This window comes from Homo sapiens, chromosome 12 (assembly GCF_000001405.40).
Source record: "Homo sapiens chromosome 12, GRCh38.p14 Primary Assembly".
In the NCBI taxonomy this organism is placed as follows: domain Eukaryota; kingdom Metazoa; phylum Chordata; class Mammalia; order Primates; family Hominidae; genus Homo; species Homo sapiens.
Genome location: NC_000012.12, coordinates 52,581,018 through 52,606,573, shown reverse-complemented (window position 1 = coordinate 52,606,573; position 25,556 = coordinate 52,581,018). Strand labels below are relative to the sequence as shown.

At 46.9% G+C, this 25,556-nt stretch overlaps 1 protein-coding gene across 9 annotated transcripts, besides 3 other annotated features; it reads left to right on the top strand.

Annotated features, from left to right (window-relative positions):
* KRT72 (keratin 72) lies at positions 3,621-20,985 on the top strand. 9 transcript variants are annotated; one of them, XM_047428323.1, is made up of 12 exons: positions 3,621-3,758; positions 5,419-5,547; positions 7,272-7,303; positions 7,462-7,676; positions 13,622-13,682; positions 14,083-14,178; positions 14,946-15,110; positions 15,613-15,738; positions 18,723-18,943; positions 19,594-19,628; positions 20,402-20,611; positions 20,739-20,985. In XM_047428323.1, exons 1-11 carry the CDS (start codon positions 3,710-3,712, stop codon positions 20,590-20,592), a joined length of 1,320 nt encoding a protein of 439 aa, XP_047284279.1. In that variant the 5' UTR covers positions 3,621-3,709; the 3' UTR covers positions 20,593-20,611; positions 20,739-20,985. The 9 variants fall into 9 exon arrangements, with proteins under 9 accessions (XP_047284279.1, XP_047284278.1, XP_047284280.1 ...); XM_047428322.1 differs by lacking the exon at positions 7,272-7,303 and adding an exon at positions 4,893-4,933; XM_047428321.1 differs by lacking the exon at positions 3,621-3,758 and adding an exon at positions 4,779-4,933.
* Positions 16,993-17,162: an enhancer, noted in NCBI's record as "experimental_29110 CRE fragment used in MPRA reporter constructs". NCBI's record gives its function as "activates a minimal promoter by MPRAs in K562 erythroleukemia cells, with activity observed for the non-introgressed 12:52983281 variant allele {active_cell/tissue: K562}" and the evidence as "EXISTENCE:reporter gene assay evidence [ECO:0000049][PMID:34662402]".
* Positions 21,367-21,536: an enhancer, noted in NCBI's record as "experimental_29100 CRE fragment used in MPRA reporter constructs". NCBI's record gives its function as "activates a minimal promoter by MPRAs in K562 erythroleukemia cells, with activity observed for the introgressed 12:52978907 or rs614984 variant allele {active_cell/tissue: K562}" and the evidence as "EXISTENCE:reporter gene assay evidence [ECO:0000049][PMID:34662402]".
* Position 21,451: a transcriptional cis regulatory region, noted in NCBI's record as "Neanderthal adaptively introgressed variant 12:52978907 (GRCh37/hg19 assembly coordinates) or rs614984 in the experimental_29100 CRE". NCBI's record gives its function as "modulates activity of the experimental_29100 enhancer by MPRAs in K562 erythroleukemia cells {active_cell/tissue: K562}" and the evidence as "EXISTENCE:reporter gene assay evidence [ECO:0000049][PMID:34662402]".

The window sequence follows — 25,556 nt, the reverse complement described above, 5'->3', positions numbered from 1 at the left end:
TCTCAATCTTCTTGAACCTCATTTCGTTAGCTATAAAACAGGAAGACTAATGCCCCTAAATTGTTGTTAAGCTAAAATGAGACAACACGAGGATGTCTTGTGCAATTACTGGCACAAAATTGATACTTAATAAATGTTAGTGGAAACAAAAGCGTGTCCTCCATATTTTTGGTTTGACTTAATTAGCTCACCGAAAGAGGTGTACAGCTGCTGGTAAAGCAATTCAAAAATTCTGACTTTAAAGAGACCATCTCATAAATTACAGCACAAGCTTATTTCCCAAAGGAGAACTGGCAGACAGAATAATTAGTCTCAGGACTATACTCTTAGAGCCAGTGAAGAAAGTCAGTTCAACAAATATTCATTAAGCATATATCATATGCCTGGCATGTGCTAGTGCTGGGGATACTGTGATGAAGAAATCTTGTCCATGTCCCTAATGGAGGCATAACCATAAAACACCTAACTGTAACATGGTGTCTCACATCATGAGGTATCAGCAACAATAGAAGACACAGAGGCAGCACAGAGGAGAGACAGGAACTTCAGGGAGGTCAGGGAAAGCTCTCAGAGGAGGCAATATGTGTAGAGGTTTTAGAGGATGGATAGGAATTTACTAGGTGGACAAGAGGAGGAAGTGGGCTTTGTAGCCAGAGGCACCAACATGGTACAAATAGGTGACTGTTGCTGGAGTGTGAAGTGTAAGGATGGAGGAGGCTCAGTAGGTGGAGAAGGAGGGTGCAGTGGCATCCAGAGTTGGTGAGGCAGGCAGCAGATGTGTAAGAGAGGCCCCTTCATGTATGCTAAGAGCTGGGATTTTATCCTGTAGAGCTTGAGAAAGAAGTTAACACCTTGGGTGTCAGATGGACCCTGAGTCAGAAGGACTTTGCCACTTACTAATTGTGTAACTTAGGCAAGATACTTCTGCTCCATAAGCCTCAGTTTTCTCATCTGTACAAAGGGGTTAATAATTGGAGTTACCTCATAGAGTTGTCATGAGAATTAAATTTAATGAAATAATGTACGAGAATTATTTAGTTCTTCTAGCACATAGTAAGTGCTCCATAAATGGCTGCCCCTATTGTTTTTAGGTATAGACTATTCTGTCAGGAAACTGAAGTGAGAAGGGAAGTAGAGAATGTCTGATAGTGATCAGAAGATTGTTTGAGAACATGAACTTAGGATACAGAGCATTCGCTATTATGTAAGATTTCTGCCATCTAACTTCTAAGCTTGGGTTCATATAATGAATGCTGACAGCCTCAAGAGACAAACCCTGACATCTGAGCAGCTTAACTTAACACAGCAAAGATTTATTTCTCACTCACTGTCCAAGGCAGGTTAGGGCAGCTGCCCTGTGTGGTTCTCCCTTTGGGTGTCTCAGGGACCCAGGCTCTTCTGCCTTGTAGCCCTGCCACATGGGACACATGAACTCCAAGGTCACCAGACAGGGGAAAAGAGATGGAGGAGGCACATGACCTGCTTACTGCCCTACCCCAGAAATGACACACTTCAATGCCACTCATGTTTCATTGGCCAGTGCTAGTCACATGACCCCAAGCCCCACCAGAACTGCAAAGGAGGCTGGGAAGTGAGAGGAGAGCAAGGTTATTTGGTGAGCTCTGGCAGTCTGTGGCTCACCTTGCTCAGTCTAGATACCCAATGCTCATCACCAGGCTGAGAATTCTCTCTCCCTTGGCCAGTGCAGGGATGATGCTGGCCATGCTCTCAGGAGTCCATGCAAACTACCTCCCTTTGGTTTGGACAATACAACCCTGGCCATATTGCCATAAACTAGATAAGCCTGCCTATTATATTTAGGTCTCCTTCATGTTTTTAGGGAGATATTGTAAGTCTCTTCAGATTTGGGAAATTTAAGTCAATTTAATGGTGAAGTGGAGATATCTTGTTTAGTGTTTCTTAAAGTATATTCCTTGAAACTCTGGCCCCATAAAGTATCTGGCCAAAGAGAGGGCTCAATGGCCTAAAAAGTGGTTTGGAAAACACTGAGTTTTGTGGGGGTTTTTTGTGTGTGACAAGAACAGTACTTTATTTCCGATTCTAGAATCAACTTCCCTCTCCTTTCATCTTTAGTTTTTTTTTTTTTTGAAAAATATAACTTATTTATAAAAGCATTATATGCTCATATTAGAAAATTCAGAAATATTAAAAAATAGAAAAAAAACCCACTGACACTGCCCCATTCACAAGTTCACCTCTCAGCCATCAGGTGTGAAAAACATTAAGTTTTGTATTACCCTTTTGTGCAACAGAAAGTATCATGCATTTTTCTGTTATTATGGTTTAATACCATCCATCTGTCCATCCATTCATCCATCTACCCACCCACCCATCTATATATCCATTTATTTGTTTACTATTCATTAGAGCAGTTTTAGGTTTACGGCAAAATAGAGTGGAAGGTACTTGGGTTTCCCATTTACCCCTTACCCCCACACATGCATAGCCTCCTTCCTTATCAACATCTCCCACCATAGGGGTACATTTGTTACAACTGATGAACTTACACTTATGCAGCATTATCACCTCAAGTCCCTGGTTTACACTGGTGTTCACTGGGAAGTCTGTGGGTTTGGACAAATGTATAATGACATGTAGTCATCATTACAGTACTGTACAGAATAGTTCACTGCCCTAAAATTGCTCTAGCACTAAGCATGTTAATGGGCCTAGAAAGTCCTGCAATAAGATGCCTGCTTCATTTTTTTTTAAACCAAGCACAGAATCCATTCCCATATCTTTTTTTCCCATGATACCTATTAACTTCCCAAGAAGTAGTGTTACAGGGCAAGGAGACCCAGTTTAACCAGCAATGCATTTTCAATTCTCAGCCTAGAGTGGTTTCATCCGTCTTTTGTAGTAAAGATCTGATTTCTAAGGGCAATGTTCCTTGTCTGGTTTACTAATCCAGGGGTTGCTTTAACCCAAGAACTAATGACAGAGGTGGTCACCAAGGCCTGAGGTGACACCGTAAGCTGCTGTCAGAGGCAGAGGCAATGAGAACCCCTCCTCCCAGGCCTCAACCCCCTTTGATCTGCTGACATCCCCACACATCTGAGGCCTTTGAAATCTGCATGTGTCACTTGTGTCTCCTCATGATCTGTAATAAAGGTGATTCAGGGGTTGAGGAATTCCTTATTCATCCAGCCAGTCAACCCCTCATAGGAAGATGAGAAAAGGTCATCTTACAGTTCCCTAACCCTGGGCAGAAGAGCCCTGGTCCCAGGATATCTCAACTCCTTAGAAAATTTCTAGGAAGAAAAAAAAAATTATTTCAAAGACACCCTTTGTCAGTCAATCCTACGTAAAAATTCTCCTCTTTCAGTGTAATCCATTCCTTGCTTTTCTATTCTCAATGGCTGGAATAAATAAATTCATTTTTGTGCTTGTGGAAAAAAAACTGGCTAAAATTACGGGGTAGAGGGAAAATCTCATGTAATAATAAAAAACATAACCTTGATCTTCTTGAAGGGTCTGCTGTCACCCAGCCACACTGACACTGCCCTTCTCCTCTTCAGAGGGAAGGGACTACAGCCCCTCCTCTGAGGCAGCACTGAGAGCCCACCCTCTCTCCCACCTAGGACACCCAGATGCCGTTATCTGTTCATCTGTGATCGGTGCCATCTCCAGCGCTTAACAATGCCCTCACAACTTTGTTCCCCGTGGAGTAAACGCTTCGGCTGTTATTATGTCCTGTCATTGGCCCAGTGGAGGCTATGTCAGCCAATTACCCCCAGGTACCATTTAACCAACCCATGAGGTCCCCAAGGGGAACCCAGCCTTCAGGGTATCACTGAAGGTGCAGTAACAAGCCTTGCCCTAAGCACTCTGCTGTTTCACAATCATCCTAAATGTCCCTTTGGCCAAGGCCTGGGCTGAGCACTGGGGGAGCAGAGGAGGGAAGGGTGAATCCAGGGGGCCCTGTCAATCTGATAGAGGAAATGGAACACACACCCAGGACTCTGGCAGCTTAAGAAATAAGAGCAATGAAATAATCCCACCTGCATGCCAGAGGAACAGGAGAGCTGTTGCTAAGAGAGGAGGAGACTTGAAGGCAGCTTAAGTTTGAGAAAAGGAAATCGGGTTAGGTGGAAGAAGGAGCCTCTGTAGCTTAAAGGGAATGAAGTTCTAGAATCTAGTTCTTGGTTTTAGATCTGAAGAGTCTTGACCTCTTCCTAATAACTGATCACATTTTGATGCTGAATCAGAAATGACTGGGTGGCAAATGACCTGAGCAGAGGTTTGCTGGATGGGATAAATAAGCCTCTTCTGCTATTAAAAGAAAACAAAAATGAAAACAACCGAAAGCCTTAGGAAACACCATCTGCTAAACCATGCCTGAGTCTTCCTGTACCACCTCCCCAGGCCTTCTTCCCTCCCTCCCAGATAGCATGGTCCCCATTCTTAGTCCAGAAATGCTTAGTGGAGAAATCTTTTCGCTCTGGTCCAAAGTCAACCCTCAACACTTGTGACCAGAGGTCTCTGTGTCCTGCCTTCTCCAACAGACTGAGAGGTCTCTGCAGACGGGGCCAAAATCTCCTCCTTCTGAACTTCCTTCTTGCACAAGGGACAGAGCTGTCCTCATCCAGAAGCCTGGGAGGCAGGAGGAGGACAGGCTAAGGATGATTTTCTGCGATAGTCTTGACTCTATTCATGGCCTTCTGAAGCAGAAGCAGCCTGGACTTCTGCTTCACACACCTCCGTCTCCCCAGACACACACCCAGAGGGTCAGCCCCACTGGAAGTTTCCAGGGGTGATCTTGGGAGTGATAACCCCAGTAATTGGAGGCCAGCAGGTGGAGATAAGGTCGCTAAGCCATGATAATGCAGGAGGTGAGCCAAGTAAATGCTGGGTTCTGGGTCACTTTACAGGGATTCATGGGGAGTTCACGGTGGAACAGACAAAAATCTCGGTGAGTGCATGGTAATTTCCTACATGAAGAACCCAAGAGGCCTCAAGGGATCTAAAAGGTGTTGTCGACATACAAATTAGGCTGACTCCAGCCAGCCAGGCTATTTAAGGGGCGAGCTGGGCCGAGAACGCAGCGGCTGTTTGCGCCCCTTCTGCCTCCCGCGCGGCCAGCACCGGTACTTGCGAGCCATGAGCCGCCAACTGACCCATTTCCCCCGCGGGGAGCGCCTGGGCTTCAGCGGTTGCTCCGCGGTCCTCTCTGGCGGGATCGGCAGCAGCTCCGCCTCATTCCGGGCCCGGGTCAAGGGCTCGGCCTCCTTTGGCAGCAAGAGCCTCTCCTGCCTTGGGGGCAGCCGAAGCCTGGCGCTCAGCGCTGCTGCACGGCGGGGCGGCGGCCGCCTGGGCGGCTTCGTGGGCACCGCCTTCGGCAGCGCCGGGCTGGGGCCCAAGTGTCCCTCCGTGTGCCCACCCGGGGGCATCCCTCAGGTCACCGTCAACAAGAGCCTCCTGGCCCCGCTCAACGTGGAGATGGACCCCGAGATCCAGAGGGTGCGCGCCCAGGAGCGGGAGCAGATCAAGGCGCTAAACAACAAGTTCGCCTCCTTCATCGACAAGGTGAGTCCTCGGGCATTGGCCTGTCCCTGCGTTGGGCGCATGTGCACAGTGGTGCTGGCTCTGCCACTGGCGAGCTGTGTGGGAGCGTGGGCGGGTCATAACCTCTCCGAGCCTCCCTTTTCCATTTGTAAAATGGGCACAATAATGGGTCTTACTCCAGTGGGTTGCGATGAGGCTTAATTGGGATGTTTACGAAGTGCTCAGAACAGTGCCTGGCACATACTTCCAATAAACAGGATGTATTAGCCCATTTTCATGCTGCTGATAAAGACATACCCGAGACTGGGAAAAAAAAAAAGAGGTTTCATTGGACTTACAGTTCTCCATGGCTGGGGAGGTCTCAGAATCATAACGGGAGGCCAAAGTCACGTCTTATATGGCGGCGGCCAGAGAAAAATGAGGCAGAAGCAAAAACGGAAACCCCTGATAAACGCATCAGATCTCGTGATACTTATTCACTATTAGGAGAATAGCAGGAGAAAGACCGGCCCCTATGATTCATTTACCTCCCCCCTGGGTCCCTCCCACAACACGTGGGAATTCTGGGAGACTTAATTCAAGTTGAGATTTGGGTGGGGACACAGCCAAAACGTATCAAGGACCTTCATTTCTTTCTTGCATGAGACAAGACTGTGAGAAGGGAGGGGTCAGGATGTCCAAGGAATGGGCACTTTGAGAGCTCCCAATATCAGAAGAGGAGATGGGACCCACATTCAGGGCAGGGCATTAGGAACAGAGGCCAAGAGACGTTGCAGGACATGGTGCTTGGTGCTTGAGGAGTGGGGTAAGTGTGTAGCCAGGAAGATGATAGAGGAGGTGAGAGAAAAGGGCCAGAAAACTGAAGGGTGAGGCTGAGGAGGCACTTGGAAAGAGTGCATGTAAAGTTACAGGTGTGTGCTGAGGGTGGGGCATCCAGAAATTGGGGTAATAGGGAAGTTGTCTCTGGAGCTTCTGAGGCAATGACCCCAGTGAGTGGAGAGGAGACAGGGAATGGACTTCTCTTGTCTCCACCTGGATGGAAGGTCTAGACGGTGAGTGATAAGGGGACAGCCTGATAACAATAGCTGACATTTATGGTGCCGTCCCAAGTGATTCTCATTTACAATCACAACCCATGATTCTGTTGTTGTTCTGCCTTGCAGATGAGGATATTAAGACATGGGAGGCTAAGAAATGAGCTCACCTTGGACAGGACAGTTGGTGGTGGACCGAGTGTCACCACTATGCTAGGGAAGAGGAATTGAGGTGGCGGGAGGGCACAGGTCTGCATGGAAGAAACACAGCAGCTATTCCAGAGGCCAGAGCATTCTCTTGCTCTTTTATGTCTGTTGTTCCCTAGCATGTTTCCTTCTGCCCCTCAAGCTGAAAGATAGGTGAGAAGAGGAATGCTGGTGTGTGGCAGAGGGCTTGGAGTTATTGAGTCTAAAAATGTGCACCCTGGTCAAGTATGAAGGAACTTTGTGAAGATGTGGTAACTTGCTGTGAACAACAAAGAAATGAACAAACCAAGTGCAATTTAGGCTACACAACAGGAGGAACGCTCTAAATGCCAGTGTGCTTTCCAATGTCACTCCCCAGTCCCTGTTTCTCCCCTGCTCCCCATTTCTCTTTACTCAGAAAACACCAGCATTTATAGCATGAGAAGCTACCTCTGTCTCATGAAAACTCACTGAGGCAGAGGCAGATGGTACCATTGCTTAAGCCCTCTTCCTGATTCCATATAGACCGGGTCCTATTTCTTGTCTTGGAGATCCAGGTGAGCATGTCCCTCGGCTGAATCCACCCCGGGATAAGCCTTGTTTTCTCCTACCCCCAGTCCCCCAGGATGGCTGCCTCTGGTTTTTGGGGCCCTTTCCCCACTCTTGAGAGGCAACAACATGGGGACTCTGGGCGATGACTGCCTTTGGGTTCCAGGTGCGGTTCCTGGAGCAGCAGAATCAGGTGCTAGAGACCAAGTGGAACCTCCTACAGCAGCTGGACTTGAACAACTGCAGGAAGAACCTGGAGCCCATTTATGAGGGCTACATCAGCAACCTGCAGAAGCAGCTGGAGATGCTGTCTGGGGACGGGGTGAGGCTGGATTCGGAGCTGAGGAACATGCAGGATTTGGTGGAGGACTACAAGAAGAGGTGAGTGAGTGGCAGGGAATATGGCCCTGGAGGATCTGATTTCAAATGAGGTTTTCGTTTGGAGATGGCATTTTTGCTTCTGAGATCCTTGCTGATACCGGGGGAGGGAGGAACATCCAGACAGAATGGAACTAGGAAAAGAATAGATCTACCTACACCGGTTCTCCAAACTGTCGAGGAAATGTGTGCTCAATTTCTAGCACTGAAAATGAAGGAATGGGGGAAAGAGAGTTGTATCAAAACCAGATGGACAACCCAAATGCCTTTGTAGTTCCTCCTGAGTGAAGTTTTCCATGGCAGTTCCCAGAATGTAAGACACCCCACCAATTCCAGGGCAAATTTTAAATCTAAAAAAAAGAATTTAAAAAACTTATTCCATGTTGAATCATGGCTGTGCTGCTGAATCCTGGCTTTAAAGAGAATAATTGAGAATGTTTGAGGATGATTGAGAATGAGATGGAACCAGAGGTTGTGTCCTCCTCCAAGTTGAGCTGAATATGAGACAGTAATAAATCAAGGCTCAGTGTGACCTGATATTTTGGAAGTTTGCTTCCAGATGCCAGGATTTCTAGGGACAGGTGGCTTCTTCCACAATTCAAGTGGCTGGAGGTCGTCAGAGCTGAGTTCTTTCTCTTGCTCCATATTCAATCTACCTGCCCATCCCTATTCTGAAATTCCTTCAAAGCAGAACCCTGGCCCAAGCCCTGCATGGAGAACCTAAGGAAGGAGGAGACACGGTCCCTGACCTCAGAGAGCACACAGATTGTGAGGACAGGCTTAAAGAACAGTTTCAGATAGCCACCAACAAGAAGAAACAAATATGGTGTGAACTGAGATAGGTGGAATTAAGATGGGAACTGGAGCCCAACTAGAGATGCAAGCAGGGTCTGGAAAGAACAGGGGGCTGCCAGACACAGTCCTGAAGTCCCACATGGAGGCGTCCAGGGGCAGTGCTATCTCTGGGCCTTTCAGACTGGAGTGGCTTTGTGCTCCTGAATCACCATGAACTAGTTGAGCAACCACAGATGAGTCTCTGTGTCCTCTGTGAACTTTAGTTTTAGTATTTATGAAAACTAAATACTGATACTTGCCTTGCTACCTAAAAGAGCTATTGAGAGGATAATGCCAGCCAGACAGTAGTGTATTAGCAGCTTTGAAAAGAATCCAAGTGCTACACAAATGTAAGGCATTGTTTTCCCTATGTCAGAAGGCTTGGATTTGAATCCTAGCTTCACTAGTAACTAGCATTTTGACCTTGGCCAAGTATTTTCATGTCTTTTGCCTCATCTATAAAATTGGAATAATAATAGAATCTACTTCATAGGGCTGTCGTGGGGATTAAATGAAATAATTTGTGCTAAGAATTTAGCACAGTGTTTAGCATGTAGTAAGGGGTACAATAAATATTAGCTGCATTTACTAGGAGTATTTTAAAACTGATTTTATCACCCATCTCTTCCACCTGTGGGTCCTCATGCCAGGTTTTTGCATCTCTCTTATGATATATCATAAGAAATGCTAATCATATGTCATTGTTGAATTAGAATTTTCAGTGCATTTGCCTTCCTGTTAAACTGTGAGTTTCTAGAAGATGCACAGTGTATATGTCTTAAGCATCATTGTATACGCTGAAGCTTTTCTCATAGGCTCTCTAAAATGATTTTAAAAAACTCTTCACAATTAAAACATTTCACAGTTAAAAAATTGAAACTACAACCTTTTAATCATAAGTGTAAGTAGTTTCAAAGGGTGTAATTTCAAACGTATTATGTGTGTTCCCATTTAAAATTGTAATAGCCACATCACTCATTGAGATGTACCCAATTGCATCCAGGTGCTGCAGCAGGTTAGCGCCCATCACCCTTCATCTAAAAAGCCAATGAATGGGCTCTGCTTTAAAAATCATAACTTTTACCTTGATCCTTTTCCTGTTTGGACTCCAATTTTCATCCCACTTTCCCCACATAATTTTGTTATAATATATTTTTATGCCTCTAAGTCTTTTATTGATCACCCTATCACAAAATATGCATGTATCTCGAAACCTTAGAAAGTTTACTTCTTGTGGCCTGTAATCCCAGCACTTCGGGAGGCTGAGGCACGTGGATCATTTGAGCTCAAGAGTTCGAGGCCAGCTGGCCAACATGGCGAAACCCTGTCTCTACAAAAAATATAAAAAATTAGCCGGGCATGGTGGCGTGCGTCTGTGTTCCCAGCTACTCAGAGGCTGAGGCATTAGAATGTCTTGAACCTGGGAGGCAGAGGTTGCAGTGAGCTGAGATCAAGCCACCGCACTCCAGTCTGGGTGACAGAGCAAGATTCTGTCTAAAAAAAAAAAAAGAAAGAAAAAAAGAAAGTTTACCTTTTGTGATCATAAGTTTTTAAATGTCAAAAGACTTATTTTGGGTTGAGTTATCCAAACAACGAAATGTATTGCTAATTTTGTTAAATAAGTATTAAACATAAAAAATGAAAAAAAATTGAAAATACTTTTCCTAATGAGTTGAATGGGGCAGATTTTTTTCTAAGTGGCTTAGTTATCCATGTATGAATATTGATTCTTATTGAGCTGAGATAGGATTCTAGTCCTGTGTGTTTTCCATTCTTAGGTGAGTGCTGGGAAACTTTAATTATAGAAGTAGATTTTAATGGAAGGAGTTTTGCAAGCCCAGTGTTATTTAGTTCTCGGAATGCCTTTCCAGTTTTTCTGCTTTTTCTTTCTTCCATAGTGCTTACTGTTTCTAACATGCTGCATGATTGACACAACTTATTTGTTGTGTTTGTTATTTGTCTCTCTCTGCTTCTTAAGGGCAGGGATATTTGTTTTGTTTTGTGCCTACAAAGTACCCCACACTCAACACATATTTTCTTAGGTGAATGATTACATGTCAAAATCACATAATGACTCACCATTAAAGATCATGTTTAACCATCTGTCAGCTGACAATTCAAATCCTTCTTTTTTTGAAAGCAAAAATTAAAAACCATCTGACTTGCAAAAAGAACTTGTTTCCTAGTCAGTAAAGTCATTATCTTCCAAATTTCTGGAAAATTTTTCAATAAGGCTTTACCAAGACTGATCAAATGGCCATGCTTATACAACTTATTCTGTCCTTTAGGAGCACCACGTTTAATCCAATGGATCAGAAAGAACTGGAAACATAAAACATTGTTAGTACTCAATACACCTATGCCAATTCTTTATCCTTAAAAAATAATGTGATTCTGCCTCATGTTTTTGTACACGAATACACACACTGGCACATTTTTGAAACTCTGGAGCTGCAGATTTACCTCATTCAATTTATATAGAAAATATCTGCCCTCTAGCTTCATTGGAAAAACCAATTTTCATATTCAAATCAGAGACATGAGTTGCTTTTCATCAGAAAAATCCTGACTTCATTTCTAAATTCAAGTAAAAGTAAGAATTTGTACTTTAGGGACTGTTATAAAATCCACTCAGAATAAACTAAGAAATATGTCTTGTATAATAGGTTATTGAAAGCATTCAAGATTAAAATGATTTAGATTTAATATAACTAATATAACTATTTATGTTATAAAACAAGAGAAATCAATATGTACTTTTTAATGATTTAACTTTTAATTATTCATTGTAATATATTTTTAAATAATAAGTTATTTTTAAGTTAATAATGCTATAAAACTTATTTTTCTTTTTAATGTGTGTATTGAACTCTGGTGTTTGGCCTCTAGAAGTAAATAATGTAAAATTATTTACAGCTAATGTCATTGATTTTGATAGCCCACTTGGTCAAAAGTTTTCTATGTATTTTAGGAAATAGATATAAACTACTAAAAATTAATTGGTCCGGCAACTACCATATGTCTTATTTTTATTAAGAGGGGGTAGACATTATTAATCTTTTTGTAAGATAATATAAAATAAAGATTGACTGTAATAGAAATAGCTGTTTCATGACATAATTTGATTAAAAGGTTTCAGTTATCTTTTGAATAAGACACAGAATCTGGGATAAATCATATAAACTGCTTTCTGTGTGTTTTATATAGCATAACTAGAAAGATCTGCAGCCTCAGAAAACATCCCAGTCACATTTGAAATAGCTCCCTTCACTACCCTGCACTGCTCAGCCATTCAACAGTGCTTTTTTTTTAAATTATTATACTTTAAGTTCTAGGGTACATTTGCACAACGTGCAGGTTTGCTACATATGTATACATGTGCTGTGTTGGTTTGCTGCACCCATTAACTCATCATTTATACTGGGTGTTTCTCCCAATGCTATCCCTCCCCCCACCCCACAACAGGCCTCGGTGTGTGGTGTTCCCCTTCCTGTGTCCAAGTGTTCTCATTGTTCAATTCCTACCTGTGAGTGAGAACATGCGGTGTTTGGTTTTCTGTCCTTGCAATAGTTGCTCAGAATGATGGTTTCCAGCTTCATCCATGTCCCTACAAAGGATATGAACTCATCCTTTTTTATGGCTGCATAGTATTCCATGGTGTAGATGTGCCGCATTTTCTTAATCCAGTCTATCACTGATGGACATTTGGGTTGATTCCAAGTCTTTGCTATTCTGAATAGTGCCACAAAAAACATATGTGTGCATGTGTCTTTATAGTAGCATGATTTATAATCCTTTGAGTATATACCCGGTAATGGGATGGCTGGGTCAAATGGTATTTCTAGTTCTAGATCCTTGAGGAATTGCCACACTCAACAGTGCTTTTTGAGGAGGGGGCTTCCAGGGACATGCCTTAGGAATGAGCGAAGAGCTGAAAAGGATTGTTTATGTTAAGTACATGAATAAAAAAGCTACTATCTAGCCTTAATTCTTTTTTTCAAAGTTTTACTATGGTAAAATACATATAACAAAATTTACCATCTTAACCATTTTTCAGTGGACGGTTCAGTGGTATCAAATACATTCATAATGTTGTGCAACCATCACCACTGTCCACCTCCAGAACACGCTTTCCATCTAGTGAAATGGGAACTGTATACCCACTTAACACTAATTCCTCATTTCTTCCCTCCCCTCTTCCTAGCCCCTGGCTCCCACCATTCTACTTTCTGTCTCTGACTTAGACTACTCTAAGTATCTCACATGAATGAGATCATTTGTCTTTTGGAATATTTGTCTTTTTTGTGATTGGCTTCTTTCACTTAGCAAAAGGTCCTCAAGGTTCATCCATGTCGTAGCATATTGTAGAATTTTTTTTCTTTCTAAGTCTGAATGATATCCCATTGTATGTATACACCACATTTTGCTTATCCATTTAGCATTAATTATTTCTTACCAATGCTCTATTTCGTTACCATACTCTCACAAATGTCCTGTAATGCATTCTTTGAGAATAATAAGGGATGGAAGAGGTAAGCTCTTTAAATAAAATGGTTAGTACTCTTACCTCCCCAATCAACAATATGTCTGTATTAAGAACATCCCAGTCCTAACCACATTTCTGTGTCTTAGACCTTGCTTCTGTTTCTGCTTCACCTGGAACAGAAATATGTATAAGAAATAGGTATAACATACAGTTTGAAAGTGAGAATGGTGCTTTTGTTTGGTGCCTAGGAGGTTTTTGCACCCTGAGCCATTGCACAGTATTAAGATGCCATGTGCCAGAAGGGAGTGTCTTTTCACCTCTGCTATAATGTGGGAGGGGCTAATTGTGACAGGGAGAGGGACAGTAGAGTCTGCATGACATCTCAACCACAGGTGCTCTCTGAGGCAGGTAGTTTTAAGACAGAATGCACAGGCACAAAGGAGCTGGAAATTGATTCCTTTAACTATGTCCTTGCCTGCATCCTCTTAAGCAAGGTTATGTGTGCCCCAGGGGTATGGGAATCCCAGTTTGAAGACCCCCACCCTGCAGCTCTCAGCACAGAGGTGGTCACTAACTGTTCAGTGAGTGTTTGCAGAACTGAATTACCTCATTGTCTTGCCCCATGCAGGTATGAGGTGGAGATTAACAGACGCACAGCTGCTGAGAATGAGTTTGTGGTGCTCAAGAAGGTAAGAGGGGTGCCAGGTGGGCTGGAAGAAGCCTAGACCTGACCACCTGGCACAATGATGCTTGTAGGGTGAGGAAAGGGGCCCTGTAGGTCACTCAGTCCCTTGGGCAGGGGTGACTGGCACTCTAACTTCCCAGCCCCTCCCTCCAAGTCCCTTGCCTGGGATGCATGCTGTTTCTAGAATTTGCCAGTCTAAAATCTGGGCATTTTACTGCACTACTGGTGTAGCCATTGCACTGCACGTTAGTTGGTTTACTCTCAGGGACTGAAGGGGACTCTCAGGGAGCCCCCCATGAAGCACAGGGTGAAGGGAGAGGAAAGAGCAAGGCTTCCTGTGGCAGGGAGGGAGGGATGGGCAGGGGAGGCCCTCTCAGGGCGGCTTGACTATCATGTGCTCCCAGGACGTGGATGCTGCTTACATGAATAAGGTTGAGCTCCAGGCCAAGGTGGACTCCTTGACAGATGAGATTAAATTCTTCAAGTGCCTTTATGAAGGGGTAAGGACTTGGCTGACCTCTCTTGTGAGATCTGCTCCTTTAACAAGAGGTTTCTGGCCCCTGGCTGGAAGGTGGTGTGGACCAAGAATTGGGAGGGAGAAAGCTTTCAACCTGGTGCCCCTGACATTCACCAAGGCCCTACTGGGTGCTGAACAATGAGCTAGGTTTTGAGGAGTCCGTGAAAGAGAAGAAGTGATTCTTGCCCTCCAGGAGTTCACAGCTTGGCAGGAAAACACCACGTAGCTGAGCTTTCAGAGAGCAGAGGAAGGAATGGTGGGTTCTGCCTGGGCCATCAGTGAAGGTTCTTGGAGAGAGAGGAGAAAGAGGACGATTTCAGTGGGTGCTGAGGGGGGCAGAAAAATAGAAGGTCCAGGAGCCTGTCCTGTGCTAAAGCATGAGGAATGAAGAAGGGCGCAGAGGCCTGGGGAAGGGACTGGTGCTAGTGACTCCCTAGGGGACTTCACATGCTAGGTAAAGAGTTCAGACTTGGTCCTATGGGTGGAGGGTGGCGGTGGCTGGTTTCTGAGGATGAGAATGTAGAAGGGTGCAGGAGTGCTCCTGAGTGTGCAATGGAGAGAGGAGTCTCAGCGTTTGGGGCTGAAAGCCTAAGGCACTTCTTCACGTGCCTGCCAGGCACTGGTGCTGAGGCAGAGTTCAAACGCTGAGGAAAGGCAGAGGGACAGTGAGGAATTTGCCCAGGGAGGACCAAGAGAACTGGTTCCTCATGAGTACCCCTTAACTAGCTCCCCTCCCCCAACCGTCCCCAGGAGATCACTCAGATCCAGTCCCACATCAGCGACACGTCCATCGTCCTGTCAATGGACAACAACCGGGATCTGGACCTGGACAGCATCATTGCCGAGGTCCGTGCCCAGTACGAGGAGATTGCCCTAAAGAGCAAGGCCGAGGCTGAGACCCTGTACCAGACCAAGGTGAGCTGGTGCCAGGTGTGCTGAGTCCCACTGGCCACAGCTAGCACCCTCTCAGTATGTGTGCATGTGTACGTGTGTGTGCGTGTGTTTGTGTGTGTGTGTGTATTTGGGCTCAGTCAAGACCTCCTTTGTCTTGAAGTTGGGCCTTGCGGAAATGCCACCCCAGGGGTAAGGGAGATTAACTACAGTCTTGGCTTGTTTTGCGGACATATATGGGGCTTAGCCCTTCTCCTATCACGGCCCTTGGCTGAGGCCACACCAGCTACAACCCTGATAGGATTCTGACACAGTTTCTATGGGTAATTCACATATATTGTCTTATCTTCATGTTTCCACTTTGGCAAAATGAGGATAGGAAATTCACACTCTGCCAAGGCTCTCATGTTTGAGAACCTGAGGATCTTGTTGAACTAGGGCAGGATCCTTTCTGTCCAGAAGAAAAGGGACCTGCCCTAGTTCAGTAGGATCCTTGTGTTCCTCTTCTCTTGTCACCCAACCTCAGATCCAGGAGCTGCAGGTCACAGCAGGCCAGCATGGGGATGACCTCAAGCTCACCAAGGCTGAAATCTCTGAGCTCAACCGCCTGATCCAGAGGATCCGCTCAGAGATAGGGAATGTGAAGAAGCAGGTGGGTTCTATGAAATTAATCCACTAACAGTATTTATTGAGTCACAATCTGGGCCAGACAGAATATGAAGAAAGGGTAAAACACAGTGCCCTCCTTAGGGCCTCCTCTAATTTACCAGGAGAGGATGATCTGAACAGATATGGAGGGATAAAGCAGCCTACACACTGTAGGTAAGTGTTACAGGAGCCCAGAGGGGTGAGAGGTGAATGAGGACCCCAGGGAAGCTTTGCAGGAGGTAGGATTACACCAGGAGAGGGGAAGGAGCAGGTGAAGGAGCCCGCAGGAGCAATGGGCCTAGGTAGTGATGTGCACAGCACGTGTGCAGGTGGGCTTGCCTATCTGGGGCAGGCAGCTCGCTGCTCAGCAGGGGTGGCAGGGAGCAGGGTACACCACTGGGTAGGAATAGGTAAGCCTTGGGGTTTAGACCTAACGCAGGAGGTAAAAGGGAGCCATTTGAAGGTTTCCCATGATGATACCTTGTGGGAGGAGAGAGAATCCAGCAGGAGATTTTAGAACAAAATGGAGGAGGCACAGCCCCCACAACCCAGATCGGGCTCAGGGCCCTGCACTAGCGTGGGGCCTTCCTGCACTAGTGCTGTGCTGTGGGGAGGACACTGCACCGAGGTCCCCCTCTTTGGGAGGTAGTACCCGTGCAACCACATCTGTGGCTCTAAAGCAAGCAAACCCATGAGTCCTCAAGTTTGTGAAAGCAGTGCAAGGGTTTAAGGCTCTCAGCTCCCAGGCAAGTCAAGTTGTCCCATCTCCTTACCCTCCCCTGCACCCCATCTCTCACCACGCATGGTGCATGCTTACACATGTACACACACACACACAGACACACACACACGCACTACTCCTCTGTGCTCATGGTAGTGGGAAGAAGAAAGACCAGCATTAAATAACTTAAGTTGTTTTTGTTTAATCAAGAGCTATATAAGTGCAGAAAAAACGCAGATGTTTGAAGCTACCCTCAGTATTCTACTACAGTGTTTAACTAATGAAATGCTATGTGTTTATGGTTGGACGAAGTTATTACCAGAAACTGACTTGCTTTGGTGGTCAGGGAAGATACCCTCTGCGGGGAACAAATGGGGATCCCTCGCAATGCTGAGTCCCCATTGCGGCTCCTTTTGAGGGCCCTCAGCTAAGGTGCTTCCTGCCCTTCTGGCCTCCTCCATCAAAGAAGGCCACCATGTCACATGCAGAGTTCCTTGGCATTTGGTGTCCTCAGCATTCATGTGACATTTGTTTCAAAGGATGCTAAAATTTCAAGTCCTCTCAACTCGGGCCATGTTCACAAGACCCAAGCTTTTGGTGTCCCTCTGCCCCAGGTTCACTGTGTGGGATCTTGGTCAGTAAAAAAGAACAGAAGACAGTTTGATGAGTTCAGGTGACAGTGTGTGTGGCCACTCCATGAATGATTAAAACTTCTACAGTCCCAAGGGTGGGGCAGGGTTTTCTGTGGTTAGAAGGCTGGGTCCTAGGCATCTCCTTGAGGCTGTGAGCCACTCATCCAAAATACGAGGGCATTGGCACTGCTGTGGGCCTGCCCAGCAGAGGAGGATGGTGGCAGCTGGACAATATTCTAGAGCCCATTTGGCCTTGGATCAGCTGCTTTCCTTGGTGTGAAGCAAATGTGGCTCCACAGATGGGCATACCCCAGAAAGAAAACCTCAGCTCCCACCAAAACCTTAGCTGAGGGAACATATACCAGACTGAAGGGCTCAGGAAGCCCCCTGGGGGCTTTCACATAAGTGCAAGCACACAGCCCCAGCTGCAGTTATGCAAAGCTATCTTCTTTAATTAATTAATTAATTAATATATATATATATATTTGAGATGGATTCTCCCTCTGTCACCCAGGCTGGAGTTCTGTGGCACAATCTGGGCTCACTGCAACCTCTGTCTCCTGGGTTCAAGTGACTCTCCTGCCTCAGCCTCTCGAGTAGCTGGGACCACAGGCAGCTGCGTGCCATCACTCCCGGCTAATTTTTGTGTTTTTAGTAGAGACGAGGTTTCATCATGTTGGCCAGCTGGTCTTGAACTCCTGACCTCAGGTGATCCACCTGCCTTGGCCTCCCAAAGTGCTGGGATTACAGGCATGAGCCACTGTGCCCAGTCTATTTTATTTATTTATTTATTTTTAATTTTAGTTTTGGTTTTAAGTTCTAGGGTACATGTACGGGATGTGCAGGTTTGTTACATAGGTAAACGTGTGCCATGGTGGTTTGCTGCACCTATCAACCCATCACCTATCAACCATGCATCTTGAGCACAGCATGCATTAGCTATTTTTTTTAGCTATTTTTCCTAAAGTTCTATCTCCCTCCACCTGCCAACAGGCTCCAGTGTGCATTGTTCCCCTCCCTGTGTCCATGTGTTCTCATTGTTCAGCTCCCACTTATAAGTGAGAACATGCGGTGTTTGGTTTTCCGTTCCCAGTTAAGTAAAGGTATCTTCTAAGCCTGTTGCCATTTAGCATAGTTCTCTTTGGGATTTGGGGACCAAACTCTAAGTGTGGCAAGTTTATAGGACAATTTATTAATAGGAACTTTATTAGCCCTCATGTTTTCCCCATGATTTATGGGATCTCCTAAAACAACCTGTACACTGCAGAGCTGAATGAAATCTAGCTGCTCAGAGACTTTTTTTCAGAGTTGACATAAGAATCTTACAGCTGATATTTCAGGCCAGGAGGGAGAGGGCAGGGGCCATGTGCCCAGGCCGCCCTCTTTCTCCGTGCCTTCCCCTCCTCCCTCCCAGGTGAAGGTTTTCTACTTTCAGATGCAGAGGCATGAGCCAGGGTGAACCATGCCTGGAGTTAGGGGAAGGACAGACTCACCTCTAGGGATGGCCAAAGTTGGATAAACCAGGAGGATCTCCAAGCAGTTGCCATCAGTCAGGACAAAACAAGGGGAGGTTGTCCAAGCAAGATCTCAGAACTGGGCTCTGACTCTTAAGTGCTGGATCTGTTTGCCCCTCAGTGTGCCGATCTGGAGACGGCCATCGCCGACGCTGAACAGCGGGGGGACTGCGCCCTGAAAGATGCCCGGGCCAAGCTGGATGAGCTGGAGGGCGCCCTGCACCAGGCCAAGGAGGAGCTGGCACGGATGCTGCGTGAGTACCAGGAGCTCGTGAGCCTGAAGCTGGCCCTGGATATGGAGATCGCCACCTACCGCAAGCTGCTGGAGAGCGAGGAGTGCAGGTGAGGGGCCGGATACCCTTGTGTCGGGACCAGTTTTCTCTCTGCTTTGGTAGGAAGCTCCAAGGCAAACAGTTTGGTCCTGTTTAGGTCCTACTGAAGTAAAACCATACAGCAAATGGGCTTGTCACATGATTAGGAAGGCCAAAGTTAGACAGCAAGAAAGACCAAGTTGTAAAAAATCCCAAAGGCTGTGGGAGAGGAGGTATTAATGCCGGCAATGTTTGAGAAACAGCATCCCCGACCGTTCATGGTGCATTTTTGTGGGTGGGGGGAGGAGCAAGATGGCCTCTAAGGGCTGTCCAAGTTCAAGGTCGCTCCAGCAAAGCCTGGGGCTCCAATGGGGAGGTAAGCTCATTCTTCTTAATCGTCTAAGAACAGTGGCATGACTAGAGGGAAGTGGAGGCCTAATGATCCCACACAGCAAGCAGTTCTAAAGGGTCTTGATGGAGGGCTGACTCCTTGCAGCAGATTTTCATCTCAGTTTTCTATTTCTTGGTGGGGGTCGCACTGGGATGTGTGGGAAGAAAGGAGGCTAGGATGGGTTTGGGAAGGCACATTCTGCGTGGAGAGGCTTATTCACAGAGGTGACTTCCAGGTGGTTGGGGTGATTATTTATGGGGGATTTACCTGTTTTTCTTCTCCTTCTTCAGGATGTCTGGCGAATATCCAAATTCTGTGAGCATCTGTAAGTATCTGCAGATCTCAGTTCTGCCCTTGGTCACCTTACCAGAAGTCCGAGTCCCTTTAATTCATGACACAAAAGAGAAATCAGAATGACAGAGGGGGCTCAGGGGAGACTTAAGGGAAAAAGGAAGGAGCTGGCTGTAGTAACTAAGGGGAAGCAGTGGATGGAGAAGACTATCATGAGAGACAAAAGTACAACCTATAGAAAGATCAAATGATACTCATGAGTGTATCATCCAACGATTGATGCTTAATTGTGACATTATTTTTCTGTTGACCAAAGCAAAGGCCTCAGATTGCAGTTAAGGGGAATTGAGGGGCCTGAAGGGTTGAGTGATGGAATGAATGAATGAGATGGAATAGTTGAATGAGTGAATGAGAGCATGTCCTCAGCTGTAAAAGCTGGAGAGCCTGTGTGGAGATGCTGTGGTGCTGAGAGACAGGGCCCTCAGTGGCCCCTTTCCTCATCAGCAGACCAGCAGCACCAGATGGGCCCTGGGAAGTGCCTCTCTTCATTTGGTCTTGCCCATGGGGGAAATTCACACACTAATAGGAAAAGGTAAAATGTGTGAGGCTAAGTGCATGAAAACTGAAGCTGTATGATCAGTGCTGATAAAAATCTCTTAGTAGACTGAAACACACAACAGAGAGAATCCATCTCAGCAGGAAGCCACTGCGGGCGAGAGTAAAGGAGGTGGCCCGAGATGCCCAAGAAGGGGCTCTGACGTGGGGCTAGAGCTGACGGGGGCTGAGGTCTTCTCTCATCCATTCCAGCCGTCATCAGCAGCACCAATGCTGGGGCAGGAGGGGCTGGCTTCAGCATGGGCTTTGGCGCCTCAAGCAGTTATAGCTACAAAACTGCAGCTGCAGACGTCAAGACCAAAGGCAGCTGTGGCAGTGAGCTCAAGGATCCCCTTGCCAAAACCTCGGGGAGCAGCTGTGCCACCAAAAAGGCCTCCAGATGATGGACAAGTGGTTGGCTCTGTGAGCAGAAGGCTTCCCAACTCACCCGTCTCCTCCCTCTCCTTCCCTGGGCTCCCTTTCCAAGTCAAGAAATGCTTTGTCTGTCACTACAGTCCCAACCCCATTTCCTCTCCCTGTTGTCCTCAAGGTGTGATGCTTCGATGCAAGGAGTCCAGTCAGGAGCTCTCTCAGTGGCCTCCTTCTTGGTCCCGTTTCGTTGGGTCATTGCCTGAAATGCAAAGACAACACTTACCCAGGATGTTTCCCCAAGGCCAGCTACAAGCCCCTCTGCCCCCATGCCTTTCTTGGGCCTTCACTACCAAGGGACTCTCTTCATCTTCTGATTGGGATTGTGTCCAGTCCTCTGCTTCTTCTGCAATAAATGATTAAATCTGTTTGGTTCTCAGTTGAATCTGTTGCCCAGGATGTCACCATCTGCAGTGCCTTAACTTTTCTTCATCTGATTCTTGCTTCACTCTGGGCTCATGTGGCTCTTCACTGGTTTTAGCCAGGTAGGCACTGGGTGAGGGCTGATCCTTGTAAACAGTTGAAATGTATTACTGAGGCCAGGGCCGGGCAGGCCCATTGCTTCACGTGCCCTGTGCCACCTATTCTGCACAATAGCCCTGCAAGACATCATTACCCCATGATAGATACAGATGTTAGAGCTTCCTCATGGCTTCCTGCTCTGGTTCTCAAAGCACCCATGGTTGAGCACACTCACTGTCTGTGTAGCGAGTGGTCTTCCCTTCATTCTCCCACTGTCTCACTCTCCACCACCCACCACTCACTCCCCAGTCCTGCTCCCACACAATGGCCCTGTCTTCCTCTTCTTTTAACCAACTTCCTTTTCACCCTAACATGTAAGGCCTGTGTGTATATATGCTTGTAGCCTCTCTATCTAAGGTGTATATGAAATAGTGCTCAATTAACAAATATTTAGTGAGCTAGGCATTGCTCAGGCACTGGGAATACCAGAATAAACAAAATAGGCACAGACACTGGCCCCATAGAGGGAGAGTGAAAATATGCACCTACCAAAGCAATATATAATATGAAGTCAAGCAGTGTTAACTACTATGAAGAAAAATTCAGTGGAGTAAGAAGCTGAGAGATTCAAGGATGCTCTTTTAGCTCTGCGTGTGTGTGTATGTGTATGTGTGTGTATGTTTGTGTGTGTATGTGTGTGTTTCTGCAAGAATGTTTGTTTCTCAGAGTCAGTTAGCACAGTTGATTTGAAAAAAACCCTTAATGCGAGACCATCTTTCAAGTGCAAACCTCGTTTGAGGATGGCATTCAGAGTGCCCGAGATCCTGTCTCCCCCGTGTCGTTTCCCACCTTATTCTCCAGCCTTTCCCCATGCAGGCCAGACTTTTCACACCTGAGGGCCTTTGCACATATCATTTTCTCAACCTCAGATGTCCATTACCCGTGATGGACAGCCTGCGCACCTGTGTGGCCTGGCTGAGACTCCACCACCCACATTTCTGTGGTGCCTGGTCCCTCCAGGTGGACCCATCCATCTTCAAGCATTACATGAGAAGGATCAATACAGCTGTGGCCCAACACCTCCCTACCCCACACCCCCATTCTACAGGCAGGCAAACCGAGTCCCAGATGGCTGAGTGACCTGTCCATGTTCACACCACTGGTGAGCAGCCGGGGCTGGACCAGTGGCTTGTACACTCACAGCCCTGTCCTGAGCCTGTGTTAAAGCCGGCACTCTATTTTTCTGGTGTCATATCAGCTGCTCACATGTCTGTCCCTCACTCCATGCCCTACATCCCCTTGTTCCAGGGTCCGGCTTGCAGTCAGCACTTTTACCATGGGAATGCATGCCTTAGTTTAGCCCACCTTCCCTGGGAAAAAGAGCTGGATATACACACAACATACCCATGTCTCAATTGTCTGGTATGCAAGTGATATGACATATTTGTGTTAATAAATTTGTGTCTTATATGCATTTGTGTGCAGGCAGTCACTCAAACTGGGACACTTTTGATCTAAATAAATACTAAGGTGGATCCTTGGACAACTGGCAAAGCCAGGACTGTCAGATAAATGGTCCCCTTGGGCCTAGCATAGTGGCAGAAGAGTCATATACCTAGCTTTGAATCCTAGCTCTTCTAATTGCCAGTAGTGGCCTAGTGCAAGATCCTGCCCTTGTAAAAGAAGATAAATACAAGCTGGCCATTATGAAGTGCTTTCTGTTGCCAGAAACTGTTCTCAGCACTCATTCTGGTAAGCACTTTATGGCTGGTAACTCAATTAATTCTCCCAACAATCTGACATGTATTATTTTTATAAGATGCGATTATTATAATGTCCATTTAACTTGTGAGGATATTGAAGCTCAGAGGAGTTAAGTAACTAACCAAATGTCACCTGGTTAGTAAATGGGAGGATCTGAATTCCAGTCTGATTCTGGAGTCTATGCTCCTGGCTTCGACACCTCCTTACCTTTCAAAGAACTCACCTTAGAGGAGATCAGAGAATAGGAAAAGAGATAAGGGGAGTAAAACAGTGCCTGGAACACAGTCTGACACCTGTAGATGCTCACTGTTATTACTAGTATTTTTAAAGCATACGTCTGTGTTTGCTGGCTGTGGGCTGGTTCATGTCTGAGAGGTGTGGACCAACAGCAGGACTTTGCCCAGAGACCTGGCCGAGATGGGCTAAGTGAAAGGTGGAGGGCACTGGGTCCATTCACTAAAATACATTCCTATCTGTTCACTGGCTGTTCATTTCCAAGCAGGGGAAAAACCCTCGGTGCCTCTATTTTGTGCACACACTGCCCTCTGCCATTGGTCCTGGATACTGCACTTTCTACCCCTGTGACTCTGGAGGAAAGACTTCCCTACAGCAGAGAGGGCGTGGGATGACCCTAGACAGGCTCTGCGCCCCTCGCGGAGCTGCCAGTGGGAGGGGATGCTGTTTCACTCCCTGGCATGCCCAGGCTGGCCCCAGCCTCTGTGTTGCCTGGGTCTGACTCCTGTCTCCTCTTCCTCTCCTCTCTGGCCTCTCCTCTTACAGGAAGGAGGAGGGGGCAGGGGCTGATGCTGCCTGCTGCCTGAACCTCCACACCTCTTATTAGAGAACCTGAGGCCTTCAGACAGCTTTTCCTGAAAATCTTGGTGCTGATCCAGAGGTCCTTGGAGTGAGGGCCCCCATGACTCAGCTGAGACCCCCTCTCCTAAGCCCTGCCTGCACAGTGTGCAAACCCCTCCCTCCTCTGAGAACTCTTTCTTTCTCAGGCAGTAGATGAGCCAGGCATGGAGGCACTGGCAAGGCACAGCCAGGGGGCTCCATAGGAAGAAAGGCCTGAGAGAGGAACACAATCTGGAAAGGCTTCCTGGAGGAGGCGGTAACAGGGATGTGAATTGTTGGAGACAGGGAGCTTGTTAAAGACTGCTTAGGTCCCATTTGGCAGCTGCTCTGGGGTTTGAGCCGCCCTTTGCCAGCTGTTTCCAATCTCCATCTCAGGGGCTCTGCCACTTCTGCCACCTATAGAGTGGCAACTACACAAAGGACAATTGTTCTGCACTGCCCCTCAGTTCTTACATTCACATTTAGCAAAGCTTCCAGGAGCACCAGAGATGTTGAGGGTCCCTCCTCTCCTGCAAACCAGCTGCCATTGGCTTGTCCATCCCTCCTCCCCGGTAAGTCGTCCACGCTGCATCCCCGTTTGGATGCAGGCCCCTCTTAGAGGGCTTATCCTCGAAATCCCTCCTTCTTGCTTCCAATTCGTCCATCTCCAGGAGAGATTCCAGATTCTTCTTCCTGGAACTCCAGATGCAGCTCAAGTTCTAGATTAAAGCTGCTCCGAGCTCAGGAACTGAACCATAGCGTGGTGGATATAGGACTGAAAGGGACCTTAGAAGTCCAGTGTGGAGGTACACACATTTTGCAGTCGGCCAGGTGTGGATCTGAATCCTTTTGTTGATTTGTTTCTTTTCCCAGTTATAACTGCAATGTGGGCAACTCAGTTTCTCTGCTCAATTTCTCTTTCCTCACTTGTAATGTGGGAAAAACAAGAGTATTTACCTGACAGGTTGGTGTGAGGATGAAATGAGTTAAAATGTGCAAAAAGCTTAGCACAGTGACTAGTGCAAAGCAAGCCTCGTCGAACCTGAGGCACACCTGCCAGGCTAGCTTCTGGCTCCGTTCCAGTCCCATTACATTCTCCTCCAGCCTCCCAGCCCACATCCATTTCCAGAAGGTTCTCTCTTCCTGGAAGGGCTGCTGGTTCCTCTGAGCCTTCTCCTTGGCCCCCTGTTAAAACATGCAGCCCCCACCCTTGCTCCACGCTGCCCCTGTTCCTCTTCCCTGAAATAGGAGCCACCAGGACCCAGGACCTGCTTTCACCGGTTCTCACTTCCAGACGGGTTTCCCCATGATGTGAGTCATTCTCCCCAACTCTTGGATCTGCAGACTCCTGGCTTATTTCATAACCTGCCTCCTGAACCCACAGCTGTGTGTCCAACCTGATAGCCCTGCATAAGACACCACTTGCCTCAGCGGGGGCCCATGACAATGGGAAGATGGAGACTTGGTCTCCTGGTGTCAACATCTCCTGCCTCCTTTTCTGTAGGAGAGGGGGATAGAACTTTCCAAAGGGGCTGGCTGTGGTCTTGGCTCCAGATGGAGGAGCTCACTCTCTGACCCCGAGGCTCAGGTGCCAGCGTCAAGCCTGCCCTAGGCCCCACGGACCCAAGCCTCTAATTCCATGGCAGGTCTGCATCGGTGGGGTGGTGCTGAGGGTCCCTCACCCCACAGCAGTGAGAGGTTCCCTGTATCCAGCAGGCCAACCATCCCTTCCACCCGCAGGGTGGGGCTGCATGGATGTGTCTCCCATGGAGCTCTGAAAGGCTCATTTCAGCCCCCTGCCCCAGCCTCGGGGTTCATCCTCCATTCTCTCTGTTTTTAGCCCTTCCCTCAGCAGCAACTTCCCCTCCTCATTGACCCA